The sequence below is a fragment of the Homo sapiens genome, chromosome 3 (assembly GCF_000001405.40).
Source record: "Homo sapiens chromosome 3, GRCh38.p14 Primary Assembly".
In the NCBI taxonomy this organism is placed as follows: Eukaryota; Metazoa; Chordata; class Mammalia; order Primates; family Hominidae; genus Homo; species Homo sapiens.
The window spans coordinates 192,111,654-192,136,125 of NC_000003.12; the positions used below are offsets into that span (position 1 = coordinate 192,111,654).

At 36.5% G+C, this 24,472-nt stretch overlaps 1 long non-coding RNA gene across 1 annotated transcript; it reads right to left on the reverse strand.

Moving 5' to 3' along the window:
* Positions 1-3,651: 3,651 nt before the first annotated feature.
* On the reverse strand, positions 3,652-13,136 carry LOC124906318 (uncharacterized). The gene is made up of 3 exons (XR_007096218.1): positions 11,398-13,136; positions 7,130-8,443; positions 3,652-6,594 (listed from the first exon to the last, which is right to left on the reverse strand). It is a non-coding gene; the product is annotated as an uncharacterized LOC124906318 (long non-coding RNA).
* Between the last annotated feature and the right edge of the window lie 11,336 nt (positions 13,137-24,472).

Consider the following 24,472-nt stretch of genomic DNA (forward strand, 5'->3'; position numbering starts at 1 on the left):
AGATAACTGAAACAAGTTCTATTTCCTTTGACATTTTCCTCGTATAGAAGAGACAATCATGTTTACAAAAATGTAGTGGTAGCAACAAGACCCTTAAGAAGGTGGAAAACTTTTCCATTGACTATAGAGTCAACTGGAGAAAAAAAATGGGAAGTAGCTATAACATTACAACATGAGTTCACAGTGAACCCAATTAGCAGTTTTTAAAAATGTCTTCATTTGCTCTCAATTATGGATTGAGATATATCTGACTTTGGGGGCTGCCATGGCAATAATTCATGGAAACAAATCATTGATTCATTTATTCATTATTTCACTTTTTTTTATTTTTAAAACTTGACACAAATATTCTGGGAACCCGCTATGTTCAAGGTGTGATGCTGGAATATACTTGCAATATAGCAGTAAACAAAATACAGTTCCTGCCCGCATGGATCTTATACTCTGATCAGGCAGAATACAAATTAGTAGGCAAATATATTGCAGTAAATGTTATAGTAGAGCCTGTACACATGGTTATATGACTACATAGAAGAGCCCTCTAACACCTACATGAAAGCATGAAAGGTTTCCTAGGAAAAACTAAACTGTGATTAACAGAGAATGGAGATGAGTGTGTGTGTGCATATATATATATATATATGATATTATATTATATATTATATATAAAAATAGTGAAATAATGAATAATGAATCAATGATGAGTATATATATATATATATATATATATATATACTCATCTCCATTCTTTGTTAATCACAGTTTAGTTTTTTGTGCATGTACATACATACACACAGTATATAAATATAAGCCCAGAACATTAGATGTGTATTCATATGTCAGTAGGACAGTGATACTGTGAAATATAAACTTGGTCTTAGTCCCCATTTCCTGACATACAACTCCTAAAGCCCTTGAAATCTTCAGAGTGATGAGTGTCTTTTGGATACTCATGACATGACTGGTGGCTGGGGGCCCCTAGACAGCTTCAGGATGAGGGCCAGTCACCTAAAAGACCAAGGGAGGATTAGAGGGTTGGGAGTTTCAACCCTAACCCTCTAACCTTTAGGGAGGGGAGAGGGGCTAAAGGTTGAATTAATTACCAATGGCCAACCATATGATAAATCATGCCTATTAAATAAAGGTTCCATAAAAACCGAAAGGATTGGGTTCAGGAGCTTTTGGATTGCTGAACACATAGGGGTTCTTAAAGGGTGGCACACCCAAAAAGAACATGGAAGCTTTGCACTTTCTCCCATACCTCACGCTATACATCTCTTTCCTCTGGCTGTTCATCCCTATCCTTTGTAATATTCTTTATAATAAATGGGTAAATGTAAGTAAAGTGTTTCCCTGAGTTCTGTGAGCCACTCTAGGAAATTAAAGGAACCCATGCAAGGGGTCATGGGCACTTTCCATTTACACCCAGTTGGTCAGAAGTCTAGGTAAAAACCTGCAGTTATGACTGGGTCTGGAGTGATGGGCAGTCTTGTGAAACTGAGCCCTCAACCTGTGGAATCTGACTCTACCTCCAGGTAGATAGTGTCGATGTTGAATTGAAAACACCAGGTAGATGATGTCCACTGCAGAACTGCTTGGTGTGTAGCTAAAAACCCCCACGCATCTGATGTCAGAAAGGGATGTGTTGAATGGCTATGTGAAAGTAGGAAAGGAGAAACACTGATTTTTTTTCTGTTTTCTTTTCTTCTCTCTTCTTCTTCTTTTTTTTTTTGAGACATAGTCTCGCCCAGGCTGGAGTGCAGTGGCGTGATCTTGGCTCACTGCAACCTCTGCCTTCCAGGTTCAAGAGATTCTTGTGCCTCAGTCTCCCAACTAGCTGGGATTACAGGCATGCATCACAGTGCCTGGCTCTTTTTCTTGCATTTTAGTAGAGATACAGCTTCACCATGTTGGCCAGGCTGGTCTTCAACTACTGGCCTCAAGGGATCCATTCGCCTCAGCCTCCTGAAGTGCTGGGATTACAGGCGTGAGCCACCATGCTTGGCCAACACTAAGTTTTTTCCATCTCCTCCAGAGGGCTTAATGACAGAAATAGCTCAAAGACATTGCAGATTTTCTTCCAGACCATAGAAATAAAGAAATAAAGAAATAAAGAAATAAAGTGAATACTGTAATAAAGCAAGTCACACAAGTTTTTTTAATTTCTTGGTGTGTATAAAATATATGTTTACTCTATACTGTAGTCTGTTAAGTGTGCAATAGTATTGTTTCTAAAAATAAACTACAGATTTTAATTTAAGGATACTTTATTGCTAAAAATGCCAACAATCATCTGAGCCTCTAGTGAGTCCTAGCCTTTTTGCTGGTGGAAGTTCTTGCCCCCATGCTGATAGCTGCTGACTAATCAGGGTGGTGGTTGCTACAGGTCAGAGTGTGTTTGGCAACTTAAAAAAAAACACCATAATGAAGTTTGTCACATCAATTGACTCTTCCTTTCATGAAAGATTTATCTGTCACTGGTGATTCTGTTTGATAGTAAGACATCTTTCAAAATTGAAGTCAATCTTCATAAACCCTACTGCTGCTTTATCTACTAAGTTTATGTAATATTTGAGATCCTTTGTTGTCATTTCAACAATGTTCACAGCATCTTCACCAGGAGTGTATTCCATTTCAAGAAATGACCTTCGTTCATCCACAAGAAACAATATCTCATCCATTCAAGTTTTATCATGAGATTGCAAGAATTCAGTCACATCTGTAGGCTTCACTTCTAATTCCAGTTGTCTTTCTATTTCTATCACATTTACAGTTACTTCCTCCACTGAAGCCTTGAAACCCTGAAAGTCATCCATGAAGACTGGAATCAGCTTCTTCCAAACTCCTAGTAATGTTGATATTTTGGCCTCTTCCCATGGATCAAGAATGTTCTTAATGTCATCTGGAATTATGAAACCTTTCTAGAAGGTTTTCAATCTACTTTGCACCGATCTATTGGGGAATCACTATCTATGGAAGCTATAGCCTTACAAAATCTGTTTCTTGAATAATAAGACTTTACTCCTTGAGCCATGGGCTATAGAATGGATGTTGTGGTAGCAGGCATGAAAACATTACTCTTCTTGTACATTTCAATCAGAACTCTTGGCAATGAGGTGCATTCTCAATGAATGGTAATATTTTGAAAGCCTTTTTTTTTCTGAGCAGTAGGTCTCAACATTAGGCTTAAAGTATTTAGTAAACTATGCTGCAAATAAATGTGCTGTCATCTAGGCTTTGTTGTTCCTTTTCTAGAGCATAGGAAGAATAGACCTAGCATAATTCCTTAGGGCCCTAGGATTTTGGGAATGGTAAATGAGCATGGGCTTCCACTTAAAGTCACCAGCTGCATTATTTCCTAATGAGAATCAGCCTCTCCTCTGAAGCTTTGAAGCCAGGCATTGACTTTTCTCTAGTTATGAAAGTCCTAGATGGAATCTTTTCCCAATATAAGGATGTTTGATCTACATTGAAAATTTGTTGTTTATTGTAGCCATCTTTATCAATTGTCTTAGCTAAATCTTCTGGATAATTTGATGCAGCTTCCATATCAGTACTTGTGGCTCCACTTCATTCTCTTATGTTATGGGGATGACTTTTTTCCTTAAACCCCATGAACTAACCTCTGCTAGCTTCCAACTTTTCTTCTGCAGCTTCCTCAACCCTCTCAGCCTTCATGGAATTGAAGAGAGTTAAGGCCTGCCTTGCTCTGGATTAGACTTTAGCTTAAGTACATGTTATAACTGTTTTCATCATTTATCAAAGCTACTATAACCTTCTCCATACCAACCATAGTTTCGCTTTCTTATTATTTGTGTGTTCACTGGACTAGCACTTTTAATTTCCTTCAAAAACTTTTTCTTTACATTCACAACTTAGCTAACTGTTTGGCAGAAAATGCCTAGCTTTTGGCCTCTCTCAGCTTTTGACATGCCTTCCTCACTAAGCTTAGTTATGTGTGGCTTTCGATTTAAAGTGAGAGACATGTACAAGAGTTGGTGGAAGAAAATACAGGTTTATTCAAAAGCTGACAGCCTGAGGAGATGGTGGACACAACCTGAGGAGATGGTGTCACAAAAACATCTCAAAATTTTCAGGCTGACCAAAGGGATTTCAAGGAGAAAGGAACCATGGAAACTAAAATGCAGGAGTGGTGCAAGGCACAGGTCTACACGTCTTATTCCAATGGCTATCATGAGTAAAGGACCATCTAGAAGCCTGGCTGGTGTCAGCTTCACCATGACTGGGTTGTGGATTAACTGCTTGCTGATCCCTTCTCTGGAAAAAAAGTATCCTGAAATCTCGCCTTCATAGCTGAATGGTTTCAATATTAGTTCCTGGAAATCTTAAGCAAGTATATAGTTAGTCACGGAAAAGAAGAGTGTCAAGTGACAAGGGAGAAAGGGCAAATACGTATGTATAAAAGAATAGAAAAAAAAGGAGGTAGCCACTTATTTTTGGCTACTTTGTTTACAGTAGTGTATGGGTGTGATTTGTGGCTCCCCAAAACAATTACAACAGTAACATCAAAGATCATTGGTCACCGATAACCATAACAGATAAAATAATAATGAGAAAGTTTGAAAATTTGGGAGAATTATTGAAACCTGACCCAGAGACATGAAGTGACCATACGTTGGTGGAAAAATAGTGCCCATAGGCTTGCCCAAAGCAAGATTGCTACAAACCTTCAATTTGTAAAAATGCAGTATCTGTGAGGTGCAGAAGAGTGAAGCACAATAAAATAAGGTGTGCCTGTATTTATCTAGGACCTACTTTTGGCTCAGCTCTTTACTTCATATTATGGCTAATTAAGTCTGCTTCTCTTGAGTTTGGAATATCAGCATCTATGCCTTTCCAAATAAAACATACATTAAATCACAGTTATGTATTACTTATGTTATTCAAGCTACATTTTATCAATAGCTACTATGACCCACAGACAATGCTTGATAATTTTCAGGTGGAAAATATTTATCCCTGACTTCTCTCTCTCGCTCTATTATACAGCTATTTCTAATACATCAGCAAAGTCTGTTGAATTTACGTTCAAATTCATCCAGAATCCAACTACTTTCCATCTCAATTACTACCATGCTGGCTAAAGTCATCATCATTTCCCACTTTAATGTAAAACAGATTTTAGTAGGTGTCCATGTTCCTAGCTCTGCCCTCTCTTTAACATATCAACCAGAATGATCCTTTGAAAATATGTCCGCTTTGTCACTCCTCTGTTTAAAATCCTGTAGTGCTGAGCCACTTTACTTATAATAGAACTAAACTTTTACAAATTCCTTCAATATTCATTGGATACTGTGCTTCCAATCTGATGTATTTTTCTACTAACATTCTTCCCTTTCCATCTGACCCATCATCAGCCATAATTGGCTTCTTGCAGTTCTATATTTTTTTCCAGACATACTGTTTTTTTTCTGCAAGGAAGACTCTTCCTCTAGATGTCCTCTTAGCTAGATCTCACCTCTCCTTCAAGTCTTAGCTCATATATCGTCCTACCAATGATACCTACACTAACTCCCCTTATTTAAAACTACAAACTGCCTACAAAATATTCCTCAACTCACATACCACATCCTACTGCCCCATCTCTGTATTTCCCACGTAGCACTTTATAGCATACTTCACAGTTGACCTATTTGTCATTTTAATTATTTACTGTTTGTTTCTCTTCCCTGAATGATAAACTTCATAGAGAAAGTTTTGTATCCCACATGCTTAGAAAAATTACTAATAGCAGGTGCTCCATAAATATTTATCAAATAAATTAATACTTATTCTCAGTTGAATGCAAACCATCTTTCCATAAATGTGAGCACAATTCTAAATTTGTGATGATGCCCTGTTGGTACTGAATCATGTACTACTCTGTCTCTGAATACATCAATAATCTTAAGTACTCTAACATTTAGTACAGTTTTAAAATTATTATATTGAGAGTATAGGAAGGAGGTTGTGATCTTATTTTAATGAACAGCAAAACCTGTCTGTACACAGACTACCACAGTAAATTATGCTGTAAATCAAATTTAGGTGTGTACAACATTAGGGGTATGAATTTCATTATAATTTGCATACTGTGGCTCATTCAGAAAATTCACTAAGCACCCTTTGTATGCCAGGAATCATGTTTGGAAATAAGAGGATGAAGTGAACAGAATATTACCTCTAACCTTAAAGGAACTTATATTCCGAAAGGGAAGAAGGGAGTTGTCTGATGAAAAGACTCAATGGAAGCAGCAGCAGAAAGAGATTAAGCTAAAAATAGAAAAATCTCTAAAAAAGCACATATTTGAAAATTACATATCAAGGCTAAGCATCTTAGAAACTTCCTACTCATTGAGAGTATGTTTAATTTTATTACTCCTTGCAAGAAGCAAAGAGATAGGCAAGGAAAGGCCAATTATCCTGTAGAGTAGATTTTTGAGTTGAGCGCAACTGAAGCTTAAAAAAGGTGCATTATTAATTCCTTGGCAATTAAAAGGCATGTTCTAGTGAGAGCAACCTCTTTTTTTCTTCCTGGAGATCCTCATCTTCTCCACACTGCAGCCATTCTGCGTACAGTTTTACGCCTGCTATCTTAATGGTAATAATAATGACAACAATAATAATAAATAATGTGTCAAAATAATAGTAACAGCAATAATCATACAAATATGATTCATAAACATCTATGGATTATTTTATCTAGAAAGGGAGTAATTTACATCATCAATGTCTAATCTTGCAATCTTCATAATACTCTCCGTGGTCATTTTCTGTGGCCATCTCTACCATCCCCTCTATGACTTTATTTAGAGTTTTTCTCTTTAAGTGTTCAAGTACATATTTATTGTTTTTACCAATCTGCATATTCATTTTATCATCTATTAATTTTCATATATATAGTGTTTCCAGGTGTACCAAGTATTTTATCTGTTTCAATCTATTTATGTGTATCTATCTAGATATTACAAATCAAACCATCCTGCAAATATTGAATTTATCTCTACTTTAGCTATTATACACAAAGTCTCTGAAGTTCAGAATCTAAAGATCATCTAAGTCCAATTCTTTCAGTTTACAAATGGTGAAACAAATACATGGAAAGTTAAATTTATCTAAAATTGTTTACCTATATATGAAGAAGTCAGGTTTAGAAAACAATAAGATGTAGTAGCCGTTTTTGGTGAACCTCTAATCTTTGTATGACAGAACTCTCTTTGAATAAAACATAGAAAATTGGATGTAAATTTGACAGCATGGGAAAATATTTCATTCAAATAATCTAAACTACTTAGTATTTAGGTGGTTTTGTTTTTTTGTTGTTTGTTTGTTTTTGCCAGAATTTCATTCGTTTTTCAAGAATCCTTTTTCTGAGTGTTTAAAGCTACCACAAAGCTATGCTACAATTTTGCAAGAATACCCGATTTTAAAGATACCCATTATTCCTATGGCAAGAAGAGTACAATTCAAAATACCTTAATATGCAAAAGTCATCTGTTTACCATGCATTCTTCAGCCCTCTCCTTACACTTGAACGGATTTCAACAGACTTGAAAAATGCTTCCCTCAATGACAAGAATTCTTCAAACACATCTTAAAAGAGCAATTGATATTCATTCCTTAAAATTAGAATTATTTAACCTTTACATGATGAATCCAATCCTTCTTTAACCTTGTTCTTTATCATTTATAAAATGCTGGAATAATATTACACTTTGCCAAAATAAATTTAAAATGGAAGTATCTATCTTGTCAAATGTATGAATAAGAAGCAGATAAATGCATATTGCCATATTACAAAATGAAAATACATATGTGAAGAGTCTGTGTGTACTACAAAGATCAGATGGTAAACATATGAGATCAAAAAGCTGTGCTTGCCGGCTAAAGTGAATGGTAAGTTTTGTGTTGTAGCATGATTCTTAGCCAGAGATCTCACCTCTAACTGTAGGCAAACACCTCAAAAATTAAGGCCTAGGTCCCACAGAGGTAAAAGAAGAGAATTTTGTGAATTACAACAATTTGGGGACAGTGGAAATAAAGGGTCCTGGGATCAGGAAACCCATCTTCCAGCTTTGAATCTGCCAACTACTTAGCCAGGAAGTCACAGTCAACTCATTCATTTACTTACTCATTCTATCACGCATTCATACATTTATTAAATACTTATTACCTTGACTGGGTGTGGTGGTGTATGCTTATAGTCCCAGCACTTTGGGAGTCAAAGGCAGGAGAATTGCTGGAGGCCAGACTAGGCTGGACAACGTAGCAAGACCCTGTCTCTACAAACGATTTAAAAATCAGCTGGGTGTGATGATGCACACCTGTAGTCCTAGTTACTTGTGAGGCTGAGGAAAGAGGATTGCTGTTCAGGAGTTCAAGGTTGCAGTGAGCTGAGATCATACCACTGCACTTCAGCCTGGGTAACAGAACAAGACTCTGTCTGAAACAAACAAACAAACAACAAGACTTATTGGCATGTACTATGGGCCAGGCACTGTACTTGTGGTAGTAATACAGTTCTGAACAAATAAGGAACACATGATGTGCAAGGACTCTGCCTATGCTCCTAGTAAGCTGTACAGATTTTAAACTATGTAAGATAGGAAATTATTGAAACTCTTCAGAAGGAAAATAACATCATTTGTTTATGTTTTTTAAAGATCACACTTTGATTGTTCTATACAGAACACAATTGTTGTGGATACGAGAGCAGAAGCAATTCTAAAACCACATTCACAACCATTGCAACATGAAAAAAGGCAGGGAAATTATGATCACAGCCATTGGCTTAATGGAGGAACTCCAATTTGCTGAGATGGAATGGCCAGTTTATGGATAAACGGTGACAAGTGACAGAGCCAAAATTGGAAAATGTTTATTTGTTCTTCCACTACAACACAGCTACATTTCAGTAGTCAACCATTCACACATTCAATCAGCAACCTGGTGTATTAAGCCTTGTGTATAATTGATCTCACAAATGTATAAACATGTTTTACAGTTTTATCTTGGAGGAGTGAAGTGAAACAGAGTAATTGGCTCAGAAACCACCATTTCCTAGTCGCTGGATTTTTACTTGACATATTGTTCCTTCTGTTATGTTCTTCAAACAGATTGAAATTTCAGAAACATTTTTGATCTGGGATATCTCTATTCACCCAGATATTATAATTCTATCTCTTAAGAATCTCTGGAATTCATATCCTCTTATTGTAGACTCTAATTAGCTAATTTTTAGGTTATTAAGCAGATTTTATCTCATCTCCTTATTATCCTATTTCTATCATTTACAAAAACGCTAGCCCTTTATATTTTCCATATACTCTGGGGCTCTGGGAATTTACTTATGAAGAAGACACATCTCGACAAATCCACAGAGGAGGAGGATATACATGTAAAGTACTAGATTCAATGCAGTATAGATAAATATACTTAGAATGCAGCATAGACAAGTAATTTACTAGCTCCTGGTCAAGGTAGGGCAGGTTTCATTTAAGGTAACGTTTGAGATGGCTCTTAAAGAATGAAGCTGGAATGGAGATCAGTCTTTGCCTTACCTAATTTTGTCTCTCCACCTTTTAATATTAGTGCTTCTAGTATTAAATCACCATGCACAGTTCTGAGCATTGCAACAATTTTTAACATTTTTGTACGTAAGCACAAAGTACAGTCTATACTATGGATTCAAAGTCCTTGATAAATTTCTCAATGTATAGTAACAGACCATTATTAATGCACAATATTATTTTAGATGAGTAGAATTCTTAATATCAGTAATTTTAAATATATTTAATATTCATTAGGAAAAATAATACTAGTATATCAAACTTAGATGCTTAGAAGAATTTTAGCTAAAAAGTAAAATCAATGTAAAATTAATTAAATAAAAAATAAATAATGTTATATTTGGCAAATCTTTGGATACAGAAAAATGTGAATGTCATTATTAAATCACTGAACTTTGGAAAACAGCATCATAATAGATGGTCTTGGGCTATTCACTAGCCAGCAACACCTAACAACATTTCAGGTGGCCTTGAGTATATCTTCATAACCTTCTACCTCTGCTCAGGCCATTTATTCTGACTGAGGTGCTGGTTTCCTCCACTCAGTTATAACCTCCTCTTCTAACATTTAGTTTAAATCTTTATTATAGCATTTAATATATATTCTATTATGTGTTAAAATAATATTTGGTATTGTCATCCCTGCAGTAGTGGAAACTGAGAGGAAGGCTTGTACAGGCTGGATGTATCTCTGATTTTCTGTTCTAAACTAAGGGCCTGGCTTATACTTCCCAACAAGTGAATAAGCATGAAAGTACAATGTAGGTGTTCAGTTACTGTTTGCTGAATTGAATTGATCAGGCTGCTGAAAGATCCAACTCCCTTAAGGTCTCCATTGTTAAATGTCACTTCTGACTTACACAACAATGACAAACCATAGCTTCTGCAAGACCATATTTAAAATAAACATCCGTTGCCTGGGAACACAGCATGTCTCATTGGCAGAGTTCTATGGACTATTTTATCTAATTAGCTCATATCAGCAAGAAACGCCTATGAGTATGAGATAGAAAAAGAGAGAAAAAATGAAAGGGAGATCGTCATAATCATGATGGCCATTTGAACAGAATGTTATCATTTCCTTACATTTCTTCACTTCAGGTTGATTACATCCAAGTGACAGATACTGTGGTTACTGTTACTGTTCCCATATTCCATTGAAATGATACAAATGAAAGTGCAGAGTTCAGTATCAACTGTCTTCTTGCCTTCCTTCTTTTTTAGTGGATTTTTACTTTTTAACCTATTCTCTTCACAAATCATAACAATGTTCTAGGTCAAATTTTACATCAAGATAAAGACCAGTCTTATACATGAATTGAATACTCTCTCTATTCATAAAAATCTTCCCCCATCAGTTATTTTCTTTGCCTAAACATTGACACAATTTACTAGAAGGAAAAAAATAGTGCTTAAAATTATTTTAATATTCGTTTCACATTTATTTTCTTCAGATATTTATTTCAACTATACACACATGTGAATACAAATCCTTTTAATAAACATATTTGGATATGAGCTGGAAAATTGTTTTAATGACTAAAGACTAATTCTGATCATTTGATATATATTATTAGTGTCTACTTTTAAACATTTTAATGCTAGTTACTGAAGAAAACTTCCAGAACATTTCATATGACTGTGTAATTATTTCTGCTTCACAGAGAACATAGAGGAAGTAAGATTTCACAGAACAGAAAAAAAGTTTCTTCTGGAGCCAAAACAATAAAGAGGATCATGAGTCAAAGGGAGACTCCATTAGTTAAACGGCAATTGCTCAGAAGAAAAACTACTTCCTTTTCTTTACCAATAGCTACCATGACATTACCTGCAAGGACTGTGGCAGTCAAAGCTCAGTCAGGAAAGAAGAACCACTACGAGTATTATGGAATGAGGACTTTACTATCAGAGTTGGCTGTTACTCAACTGTGAGAAGAGACGAAGATTAAGGTTTAGAATGGAGGAGCTGGAAGATTCGAGCCAGGTTGCTAAGCTGCCAGTCTGAAGCCCTGGCAAGGGGAATCTGGGAAGCCAGGCATGTCTATCTGTTGGTGTGTGACCACAATGTGGAGCTGTCAGGAAACTCTATGGAAAGCTGTCAGCTCTGCGTCTCATGGTCAGCCCAGCGTTGCAGTTGGTTAGTAGCGCCAGAAGTCAGAAAGAACTAGACATAAATGAGCGGTGAGGACATGCCGAACCCACCAGTACCTCTAGGTTCATCTTTCAATGTTTTGACTGTTACGACCTTCAAGAAGGAGGAACTCTCGCTTCACTTCTTCCTCCTACGCCTCAGGCAAATACTTATTTTCGTCAACCCTGAGTTAGAAGCATCCAGAAAAAGAATCTGAGAGAATGAACTTCCCACTTAGCCAAGTTGACTCAGAGAAAAAAAAATCACGAAGATTACTTGCTTGCGTTCAAGTTTCATTGAAGCTTCAGTGTATCAAAGTCATGAAATTAATAGAATGTATGTTTTAGGGAGATTCTGATTCTAAAATATTTTGATGGAATTTAATTTCTCAGGCCAGAAGAGATTTTAGTTAAGCATTGATTATAATTGACAAGATTTAGTAATCAGAGAGGAAGATCGATGTCAATATTTCACATTTTTATCAATATAATAAGCATCAATAATAAGTGAGACATTGTGGTTACAGAAAAACAATTATATGAACTGTATACTAATATAATATGCTTTCTCAGTCAAATTGGACTAATCTGTACTGATCTTTCAATTTAGCCATAACCAAAGACCAGACTTCACCAGGAAGCAGATTTCTGAATTTTCACCATGGATACTAGAAACAAATGTTCCCTAAAATAGCCAGAATTACAAGATGAAATTTATCCAAAGCGTAAGTGGCAATGTCAGTTTACCTGAATTAATGCCACATACTAAGGCATTTTAGTTCTCTCAAATCTTAATTTAGATAAATGAAAATGTTATTTAAACCAATCTCAAGGGCACTGAATGTAAAAACATTAAATGGACAGTTCAATGAGAAAGTGAACAAGAAATGAACAAGAAATCTCTCAAGAACAATGAACATAAACGGGGTACAGAATAGGGAGCTTCAGACAACTGGGCTGACAGAAAAGAAGGGTGTTGATAATTCCTTTTTCCCATCAAAAGGGAATCAAGGGTGTAGCAATAATCCTCAGCTATAGAATCCCACCTAGAGAAGTCTTTCATCAAATTAAAAATACTGTATAAATAATATAATGATTTAAAGTGGTTTACTGTGGTGTCAACATCATTACTTTTTAAAAACGTGGTTTATGCACTTACAATTTCCAGTGTCCCTTTTTTAACCAATGCTTTGGTGAGATGTGTCAATCAGTTATAAATGAAATGACACTCCTATATCCCAGTTACTTTTGTAAACCTATCATTATGTATTTTAAATCTAACATGGATCCATGTTTTAAATTGTCATTAATATCTTTGCAAGATTTGTCTCTAGCCTATCACTGCAGCTTCAGTACTGTCCTTCTCACACATTCTCTCAGTCATAATAAAGTCTCTGGTATTTTTCATACATGCCACATACATCTTGGCCTCTGGCTGCTATGGATGTTGTCCCAGGTGTCTTCTTTCCAATACTGTTTTTCTGATTGAAATGCTAGTCTCCCATGAAACACTCCCTAATCCTCTGAGTAATGTAGGATATGTGCCTATTTTGGACTCATAAATCAAAATATTTGTGCCACAGCTAGCTTCCTTCTTTATCTTTGTTTATATTTTATTTTTTTTTTAGATTGTGTGCTTAGCTTCTACCACGTAATTTTCTTAGCAGTAGAAAAACGTCTCGTGTATCCTCCCTCCATCTTGAGAGCATGCTATGTAAATGGCACTCTTCTAAAGAATCGAATTGGTGTTGGTGATTTGTTTTTAGCTCCTTGTTCTTTGATCTCCGGCAGTGAATTGGGCTTAGTATGTGAAAAAATATATACATGGTCAAGAAGGCTAACATCAAACTAATTGTAGCAGAGTATTATGTAACCAACTCTATAAAACTTAGTTTATGATGAAATTCCTTGCCATGTGCCTCTTCATTAATATAGCATCTTCCAGAATTTGGTAATTATATTATTTTATCAATCTTCCTGTGTGCATCACCTAGGAGGGGGACTATCTAAGTATATTCAAAAAATGATTTTGTCCAGAGCATCTAACAAAATAAGATTAAGTAAACACTTGAAAAAAATACATTGATAATGCAGCACTGAGAGTTGAGTTAAGAAGGGCGCATAGCTAAGGGAGGCATAAGCACTGTTTCTGTTAGGAGATAATTTGGCCAAGTTATTTATGTAGGCAACATGGCTGCTGTGTCCACTTAACAAGCTGTTTCATAAACTAGATGATTAGCAATATAATACAGAGCCCTCTTGAACTTCTAAAACAGCTGTTTAGCTCTAAAATGACCACTGTAAATTAGTTCAAGATAAAAAGAGAAAGGAGAGAGAGACAGTGTTGGAGAGGGTAAGGAAGGGGGTCAAAAGAGAAGGATAGAGAAAGCAAGAGAAGGGAAGGGAGGAGAGGAGAAGGAGGGGAGAAAAGGTAAAGAAGAATGAAAGGATAGAAGAGATATTTTAAAGAAATATTTTAAGGAAGTACAACTAATGAGTATAAATGAGTTAGACAAGGTAAATATTTTAAACGTATATAATATTTTGTTGTTTTTCCTTTTTACTTTTGCTTTTAATTTTTGGATTTCAATCTCTGAGGGTTAATTATACTTCTCAATTAATGTTACCTGTATGAGACATTTGTTTGATTTTATTTTGTCCCGATTCCCCACTACCGTTATATCCTTCCTTTATACATAATCATTTTGATATTTTGATGTTTATTGTGTATCCTTATATTTATATATACATATTTAAAATGTGTTTATTTCCTTTGTATGAATATGTGTATTATTAAATTATATGAATGGTGCCTTACATAAATATCTTGTTTTCTTTCTTACTTTTTTACTAGTGCCATGTTTTTGAGATGCACTATTGTTGCTGTCTACACATCAAGTCTATTGTTTCTAACTGTGGTATAGTATTCACTTGAGTGTATCCACCATGTTTTACCCATCCACCCCTCCCTCTGCCACAGTGAAGGATACCTACACTGTCTACAATTCTTTGCCAACATAAGCAACGTTGCAATGAACATCTTCAAGCCTTTTTCTTTAAGCATTTTTTATTAGAATGTGAGATGTATATCCAAATGTGGCCTGACTGGATCATACGTATCGTCCAGTTACTGACAAACATATTGTTTTCAAGAACAGCTATGCCAGCACGCACAACCATCAGCAGTGTGTATTTTATGTTGTCTTTAGAAATGGTAACCTTGCCATGGCCCCAAATTCTTGAATGTATGCATGGTGATTTGTAATTCTGCTCTTCACCCTGTAATGATAAGTCTCTTCTTAACTGTAGTCTCTTTAAATATTTGAACTGTGTGAGCGCAGCTGGACGACTGCCCGGGACCTATCCTTTATTGGCTATGAGACTTTCAGCAACTCATTTCTTCTTTCTGATTTTTCTTTCATTCACTTACTCAGCCATTCATTCAAACAATATTAATTGAACACATACTATGTACTTAGTTTATGACTCTACCACCCGATGTGTGTGTTTCTTTATCAGAAGGAGAACCACCATGTAAGCATTGTGAAGACAGTAGTTCATATGATGGACTGCCTCTGCTCTTAGAAAACTCTTGGAGACTCAGAGACATCTTCCCTGAGAAAGATAAATTTAATTTCAAACCTGAAAGGAGTTGGTTAATCAAAAAACCAGGGAGCTGTGACAATTTTTAAATTGAGAATGGCAAAAATAAATTGTATTCTGTATAGAGGAAAACAATGAATGCCGCAGACCTGAGTAGAAACATCCAAGTAGAGATTCAATAATGGAAAGGTGTGCCGTAAGGCTAGAACAAAGAGAGTGGCGTTTGCAGGAGGCTCAGAGAAGCAGGAAGGTGGTGTCAAACCAAGTAGCGTACTGAGACTTGGAAAGCATTTTGGATTACAGAAAAGTATTTATGGAAATTAAGGTAATATTCAAATATTATATAAGCAGCTGGATGAGTACTTCACTGGTGTCTTCCAGTGTTTTCATTTTGGGTTTTTTTCTAAATCTGTGCTTCCAATAAGCCACATGTGGCTACTGTGCTCTTTCAATGTGGCTAGTCTGAATTGAGAAGTGCTGTAAATAAAAAACTAAACACCAGGTTGTGAAACCATAGTATAAAAAAGACTGCAGGCCAGGTGCGGTGACTCACACCTGTAATCCTAGCACTTTGGGAGGCCTAGGCTGGTGGATCACCTGAGGTCAGGAGTTCAAGACCAGCCTGGCCAACATGGTGAAACCCCGTCTCTACTAAAAATACAAAACAAATTAGCTTGGTGTGGTTGTGAGGGCCTGTAATCCCAGCTACTCGAGAGGCTGAGGTAGGAGAATCACTAGAATCCTGGAGGTGCAGGTCGCAGTGAGCTGAGATCGTGCCATTGCACTCCAGCCTGGGTGACAGAGCGAGACACACACACCCCAAAAAAAAAAAAAAAAGAAAGTGCAAAATTTCTTATTAACAATTGTATATTGGTTACAGATTGAAATTATGATTTTTGGATATATTGGCTTAAATATCTTGTATTATAAAAATTAATTTTGCCTATTTCTTTTACCTTTTCAGTGTGCTTACTAGAAAAGTTTAAATCATATACATGGCTCCCAATACATATTTGTTGGGCAACACTGTTCTATATTCTTTGCTTCCTGAAAAACCATAGAATGGTGAAGATTTATCTAGAGTGAAGGTTTTGATAACCAAAATTTTCTTCCTATTAAATCTGAACCCAACAGAAGGAGACATTTAGCCTTGAGATGATTTCAACTAGAGTCCCAGGCAGAAAGCCATTTAACTTGATAATAAGCTGTATAGACTTCAGCAGAGCAGTTTAGAAAATTATGTGGGTGTTAAAATATATGCACATATTCCGTTATATATTAACAAGATATGTGCTCAGAGAAGACTCCCACACACCCACGCACCACTTAGAATACTGGCTTACATTTTTCTACCAGTAAAGTCACTTTGAATAAAGGAAGAAAAAAATCGAGCAGTAGTACAGTAAATGTCACATACTGTATAGTTAATTTGCAAGAATCGTTTTGCAGAAAATGAATTTTTCATGAGTATTCTTTAAAATATGTTTTGCCAGGATATTTTTCTTTGATGTGACTAGCTTAAAAATCCCATCACCTTTTACTGAAATTTTATGATTGATCTTTTTCATATTTGAAACAATTTGATGAAAATTTATTAAATTCAGTTTTGTGCCAATCTAGTTAAACAGACTTCATTTCAGGCCTTTAAATGCTTACAGTCCAAGAGAGGGGACTGTGCTCAAAGAAATAAAATAGTGTGAAAAGTTGAAGAATCAAATTACATCTAGGTACAAATGTAACATGATTCTTTCTGAGAGGAACGAAATCAGTTGTATTTATTCTTAAAAAAGAAAAAAAGACTACATATAGTCCAGAAAACCTTAGCTACATTTAAAAACTGTCTCACAAAACCAAAATTTGGAACTGAACCTCAATTATAATAAAATATTTTCTTTGGAGGATCTGTCAAAATAAGACAGTGTATACATGTTCTTGTTGGCATTTTATACCTGGTGATTATTATGTAGGTATTAGAGAAGTAATATTTTTTTCCCAATCTCTTTGAGTCTTCTGTTAATAAATTTTGCAGACTTCGTAGTCAATGTGTCTCTGACATAATCGTGCGTAAAGTGCATTTATGTATTTACAGAGGAAATGGACCATGAATAGCTGTCACTGTGGACTTTCCCCTCAGTGCCCCATTTACTCTGTCATGCTGTAGGTGTTGCTGGGGGAAAAAAGGGTCAGCAGTTTTTGGTGTAGGCATTTTCTATGGTTAGCCAGCTTTTGTATTTCCTTTGAAGCACTAAGCTGTAACGAAAGTTGTAGGATGGCTCTATGATGAGGGCCATTTTTTGGCCAAATTTCTAAATATGAATCAGTGGATTAAACAGAAAGGTTAAATTAGTTTTTCACATCTTCTTTACTTTTTAAAATATTATTTCAAAAACTATAATTTGAAAGTTATACTGTATCACATTTTATATATCCAGGTGTCAACTGGATTAGATGGGGATATTTCACTTTTCCCCCACATCACACAGCATTGGTAGCGTATTGGAATATTTGATATATTAGGTTCATTTATCCTAGGTTTTATATTTTAATTTGTTAAGTGAACTCTGAGGGGGAAAAGGGGAGATTTTCATTCAGGAAAACTGACTAGATAAAATAATTGAAATATAAATAAATGTCATTAAATTTGGGGGGTTTTAAAGAATATCAGGGGTCCTGTCTGGATAAGATGGAATAAACACTGGTGACTCAGTCTTCTGCACTGAATAAAGACTAGACAGATGCAACAGAGCAGCTCTTTGAGGACTCTGATAAATAGAAGGCAAACTGGGGAAGAAGCCCAGAATTCAAATACTGATGAATTTATCATTTTTTTCCTCTAATGCTCACAACCAACACAGCAGTGATCACAAAGGAGTTGGCAGAGAGAGCTTGGGAGAAGCCTAACTCTGGCTTCTTCTAAGAAGTTCTCCCTAGTTCTGGCTCAAGAAGCAAGAAAGGGAACTTAAAATATTCCGAAAGAGTGTGGAAATGTCCTGTTTTATTTTTCTTTCTTTTTTCTGTTCTCCCATGGCCTAGTTCCTATGCAATCCTGTGGAGCCAAAATTCTAGGTGGGGAAAGTTTCTATTAGAGTAGTCCCCCCTTATCTGTGGGGAATATGTTCTAAGACCACCAACGCATGCCTGAAACTACCAATAGTACCAAACCCCATGTATTTTTTCTTACACAACCCCACAATAAAGTTTAATTTATGAATTAGGCATAGTAAGAGATTAACAACAATAACGATAATAAAGCAGAACAATTATAACAATATGCTGTAATAAAAGCTATGTGAATGTAGTCTCTTTCTGTCTTTCTCAGTATATCCTGTTGTCACGTATACACCTATTTTCAGGCTTTGATTGGCCACAGGTAACTGAAACTGCCAAGAGCCAAACCATGGATAAAAGGGGACTCCTGTCTCATATCTTCAGCAGAGGATCCTTGGTTCCAAGAGAGTGAGGCTGACCACCACTGTCGTCCATCTGGATTGTCCTTTCATTGTTTGGACCTGGATGTGGGCACACCAGAAGTGCACCTCAGAGTGGGATAACTAAAACCCTGGCTTCCTTGATATAGAAGGACCCCAAGGAACCAGAAAGTATGAAAGTTATGGAGAAAAAGGAAAACTCAGGAAATCAATTCCAAATAATTGTTTATAAATTTTGGACTCGTTCCCAAGCTTGCACATGTGGATCTGATGTTATTTAGTGTACAAAAGATAGAACTGAAGATACACCACTGCCCAATGTCTGAGACTGGCCACTAGGTGGCACATGAACTGGACTGATCCAAATAGTACTGCGAATGCTTTGAAGACTATGCTAGCATTGCAACCACAGCACACAGGAGAGGCAGATTCGAACTTAAGAGTGAACCTAACCAGGCTGACTCTTACTAAACGAAAATGTCAACATTCTCCATAGGATTTAAAGAAGTCCCAGAGTCTCATAACATAACATAATATTCAAAATGTCCAGGATACAATGAAAAAAATTTTGGTATGTAAACTATCAGGAAAATCTCAACTTTCATGGGGAAAGACAATCAACAGATATAAATATGAAGTAACAAAGATGTTGGAATTATCTGATTCTTGAAACCAAAGGAAAAATAGAAAGTACACAAAATAAATGGAAGCTGTCAAGAAGTACCAAATGAAGATTTTAGAATTATAAAAATAACAACAACAGTAATAACTTCCCCCTCAAAACAAGAAACAAACAAAACAAAATTTAAAACCCTCCTTTGACAGGCTCAGTAGCAGAATAGAGATGACAGAGGAAAGAATCAATGAACTTGAAGAAAAATCAATAAAAATGATTTAATCAGAACCATAGAAAGTTTTCTTAAAAAATGAAAAGTTTAACAGAACATTAGACATCTGTGGGGAAATAACAAAAAAACTAGTGTTTTTGTTATTTGAGTCCCAGAAGGATAGAAGAAAAAGTGCAGTGCAGAAAAAAGTTAAAGAAGTAATCGATAAAAATGTCCCCAAATTGGCAAGAGAACTGGACATAAAGATTCAAAAAGCTCAGTGAATGCCAAACAGGATAAAAGCAAACAAATCCACACCCAGAAGCACTGTAATCAAACTGCTAAAAATTAAAGACAAAGAAAAAAGCCCAGAAGCCACCCAGAAAAAAAAGATTCGTTATCAATAGAAGAACAGTGACATAGCTCAGAAGGAAGTGTTGAAAGAAAATAACTTTCAACTCAGAATTCTATACCCAATGAACGTATCCCTCGGGAATGAAGGTGAAATAAAAACACTTTGAGAAGAAGAAAAACTAAGGGCATTTATTGCCTTGCAGACCTGATCTAAAGGCATTGTGAAAAAAAAAAAAAGCTCTTTAGGATTTTAGGATGAAGGGAATTAATATAAGAAGGAAACATGGAACATTAACAATGAAGGAGGCTGGACACAATGGCTCACACCTGTAATCCCAGCACTTTGGGAGGCTGAGGCAGGCAGATCACTTGAGGTCAGGAGTTCAAGACCAGCCTGGCCAAATGGTGAAACCCCGCCTCTACTAAAAATACAAAAATTAGCCAAGCGTGGTGGCATGCACCTGTAATCCAAACTACTCAGAAGGCTGAGGCACAAGAATCACTTGAACCTGGTAGGCAGAGGTTGCAGTGAGCCGAGAATGTGCCACTGCAGTGCAACAGAGCAGAGCGAGACTTTGTGTTTAAAAAAATAAATAAATAAATACAAAGAAGCAACAATGAAAATGGCAAATGTTTGGGTAAGTATAATAGATTTTTTCCCTAAATAGTGTGTGGGAGTTGAAAGCAGAAATTACAACATTGTCAAATGAGATTTCAATGTATGTATATAATCATGACATAAATAGGAAGCTAAAGTGATCCAAATGGTAGTAAGCTTTCTACATTCAGCCAAAAGTGGTAAAATATTAATTCTAAGTAGACTGTAAAAAGTTAAATACATATATTGTAATCCTTCGTGAAATAACAAAAAAGAAGTCAGGAAACAGAGAAATGAAAAAACAGAAATAACTAACAGAAAACAAATAATAAAACAGTAAACCTAAATCCAAACATATCAAGAATTACATCAAATGCAAATGGTCAAATCACATCTATTAAAAGACACAGATTTTTAGGGTGGATAAGGAATATTAGACAATCAAATTAATCCCTGCTTTGAAAACTGTCTTTGTCTTACAATGAGGAAACAGAGATTTAGAGGAGAAATAAATTGTTCAAGATCCTACAGCAACCAGATTTAGAGGACAGTTTTTCTAAATTCTTAGATATTGCTTCCTACTACTTCACAAAAGACCTTGTCCCAGCCCTCTAGGGTATTGCTGGGATAAAGAATAAGGAAGTGGGAACAGCTAGATTGCATTGTTTCAGGACTGAATTCAGAGTTAAATGTCAGGAGGGTCCTGACCCTGTGCCAGAGGAGTATGTTACTAGGAAAGCCATTGAAAAAGCCCATCATCATATAGGGAGGTAGTCAATAATGGCTAAAGTGGCATCAACCCCATAGGGGTCATACTGGGTATATTAGTCAGGATTCTTCAAAGAAATAGAACTAATAGGATACACACATGCACACACGCACACACACACACACACACACACGGAGGAGAGGGGAGATTTATTATGAGGAATTGGCTCATACAATTGTGGGGGGCTGAAAAGTGTCATGATCTGCCATCTGCCGTCTAGAGATCCAGGAAAACCGGTGGTGTAATTCTAACCCAAGTTCAATGACCAGAGAGCTGATGGTGCAAATCCCAGTTAGGGGAAGAGAATACCTGTGTCCCAGCTCAAGGAGATAGGCAGGAAGCCAAAAGGGGTAAATTCCTCCTTCCTCCACTTTTCTGTCCTATTCAAGCTTTCAACAGATTGGATGATGGACACCCACGTTGAAGAAGACAGTCTACTTTACCGACACTGCTAACTCAGACGTTAATCTCATCTGGAAACATCCTCACAGACACACACAGAAAGAATGTTTCTATTTGGGAACCCTGTGGCACAGTCATGTTGACGCATAAAATTGACCACAATACTAGATCTGACCCAATTTCCAGCATGCTTCTTGGGAAAAAAAGGAAGTGTGAGGCAAATTTCTCTAGGTTTTTCATGAGGAGAGTTGCATACATTCTGACAAAGGCAGAGAAAGTGACCTGGTAACCAGGTATCTTCTTTTGATATATGCTGCTTGCATTCAGCAGGTTCTAAGCAGTGAAACTCAGAGTAACCTATGGTGAATTTCTGACTTCCCCTCCCTTATTGTTGGAGCAAGTCGAGGAATTTTATGAGACAAGTTGTGTGTCTGCTGGAAAGAATAAGGGCAAGGACTAGAGAAATATAGGGTACATGGACTTAAATAGTAAAATACAGAAACACGCACTATTGAATTACCTAGCTTTCTAGCTTTCTGGAGGAGACACAGATTTCTGTTTTCTTCCTTATAATGGGTTCAGTCAGTGTACATGTAATTGAGGAAGAGTCATATGTTACCTCTTTGTTTTTAGAGTGTAGTGCTGGGCGAAGAAAAAGAAATAAAACACAAGTGTGACAGTTTTGGTTGCAGGAGACAGTGTGCTCTGAGTAAAAGTGTGAAAAAAGCTATTGTAATTTAATTTTGTCCTGAGAATGGGTGCTCAGATGCAAGAGAATAAATCTGACTACTCATGAGCTAAGAGACATTCTTAGCCAGGACTATATTGTCAGGGGAAAGTGAACTCCTTTCCAAGTGACAGAGAAGTCTGTCTTAACATATTCTCACTACTAAATAAAGTAGCATTGTGAACCATTACAGCAGAAGCAAAAAATATAACTTTATTTTTGTAAAGGTCCAGATTTTAAATATATGCTGTTAATAATTTGGGGGGCTACCATTTCAAGACGGTGGCCACATTTATTAACCTAATTCAGATCCAAATATTTTGTTCATAAAGTAAGCACTCACATAACGCGATTGCTTAAACAAGTATCTCTCTGGATTCAGACAGAAGAAGTTGTCCTTGAATCAACTCTGAATATTTGGGCAACATCTTAATACAAGGCCCAGCTCCGTATCAAGAAATCTTTAAATATATCACTACAACACCTCTAGGAGATTAGGCATGATGCTGAAATATGGCAGGGACATTGCAGAAACTTAGCATCTAATATCCCCTGCTATTAAAATTGTCTAAACCTTGTCATAAGAGAGTCTTCTACTCATAACTCTCATGCACATTTACAACTTAAAATTTCTCTGGAAAGTTGACTTCAACCAGCCTTGACTAGGCACTTAATAAATGTTAACTACGGTTTATTAAGGGTTCATTCAGTGGAGTGATTCTCAAATCTGCAAGAAAGAATCACCTGCCTTTACTCCAAACTGATTTCATCAGGATTTCTAGGGGTGGGGCCTAAGCCTCAGTATATTTTTTAGAAGTTGTCAGGTAATTCTAATATGCAGTTGAGGTTACAAACCAATGAATATATCCTAAGCAAGAAGAGTAATGAAATCTAAATAGTAACAACATATGATAACTACATAGATACTGAAATAATCAATTACTTTTATTTCCTTGAAGAAACAAAATCATGAAAATGAAACCATCTTATGCATTCTTGATGAGATGCCTCTTAGACTCCTCCATCTGGAAGAAGGATACGTACGCTTGACCAGAACCTAGGCCCTAACTATAGAGGCAATGATGTGCTGGGTTTTGGATGGGGGAAACAGTGAGGAAGTAGGGAGAGCTAATCCCTCCAATTCCTGCTTTTAGAACCAAGTTCCAGATAACTATATGCTCTGTATCAGGGAAGTGGGTGGCCATCTCCAAGTCCATGGACAATTATGCTGGCTATATTCTAACAGGTCACAGTCACTTGTTTCGAGCCAGGTTAGAAATAGCTCTGGCATTTAAGATGGAGAGTGAGTTAGTAAAGCAGATTCATATCACTCTTGTCCATAATTCCATGATTAGTTCACCTTTGGGCTGAGATGTCCCAGCACAGGTCATCTGCTAGTAGTGTGGGCAAGTTTCTAATTCAGTGAGACCCCCAAATTGCGGTGTTGTGATGATCATTCTCCTAGTGAACTAGATATGGTGAAGTAATAGCATCTATGCTCTATCATTCTAGGGTGATCTGACCAAGATTTCTTGGTATACGATTTAGAGAATATTGCTACTCTAATCCACACTGTTCAAAGAAAGAACTCATCTCCTCATACATCCAGTGTGCCTCTCTTTGATTTCTTATAGGGAACACCCAGACAGCATGTAGGTTAGTTAGTTATTTTCCTTGTCGTACAGGAGATCAGAAATGACAGTGGCTCAACTTGCCAGAGAAACAAGTATCCTGGACCACAAAAACATCGTTAACCTAGACCTTATAGCCTGTTGGTGTTAGTACCTTCAGCAGGAGGACGTACTAGACAATGGAAGAGGTTGTGAATATGCCCAGTACAAACCTCGAGGGCAGTTCACATTTTGTGATAGAAGTGTCTAATTCCTTACCCAATTTCAATTCCTTTTTCTTCCTTACCCACGAACCTCCAGTTCTGGCCAGTGAGACCTATGCTGGGGGTTTCTGGAAAAGATGTTTCCATGTTAGAGGTACCACATATTTCCACCTCCCTGTCTTCCTTTTTTCTGTGTCCTAGATGTGAGCATGATGCCTACAACTGGAGCAG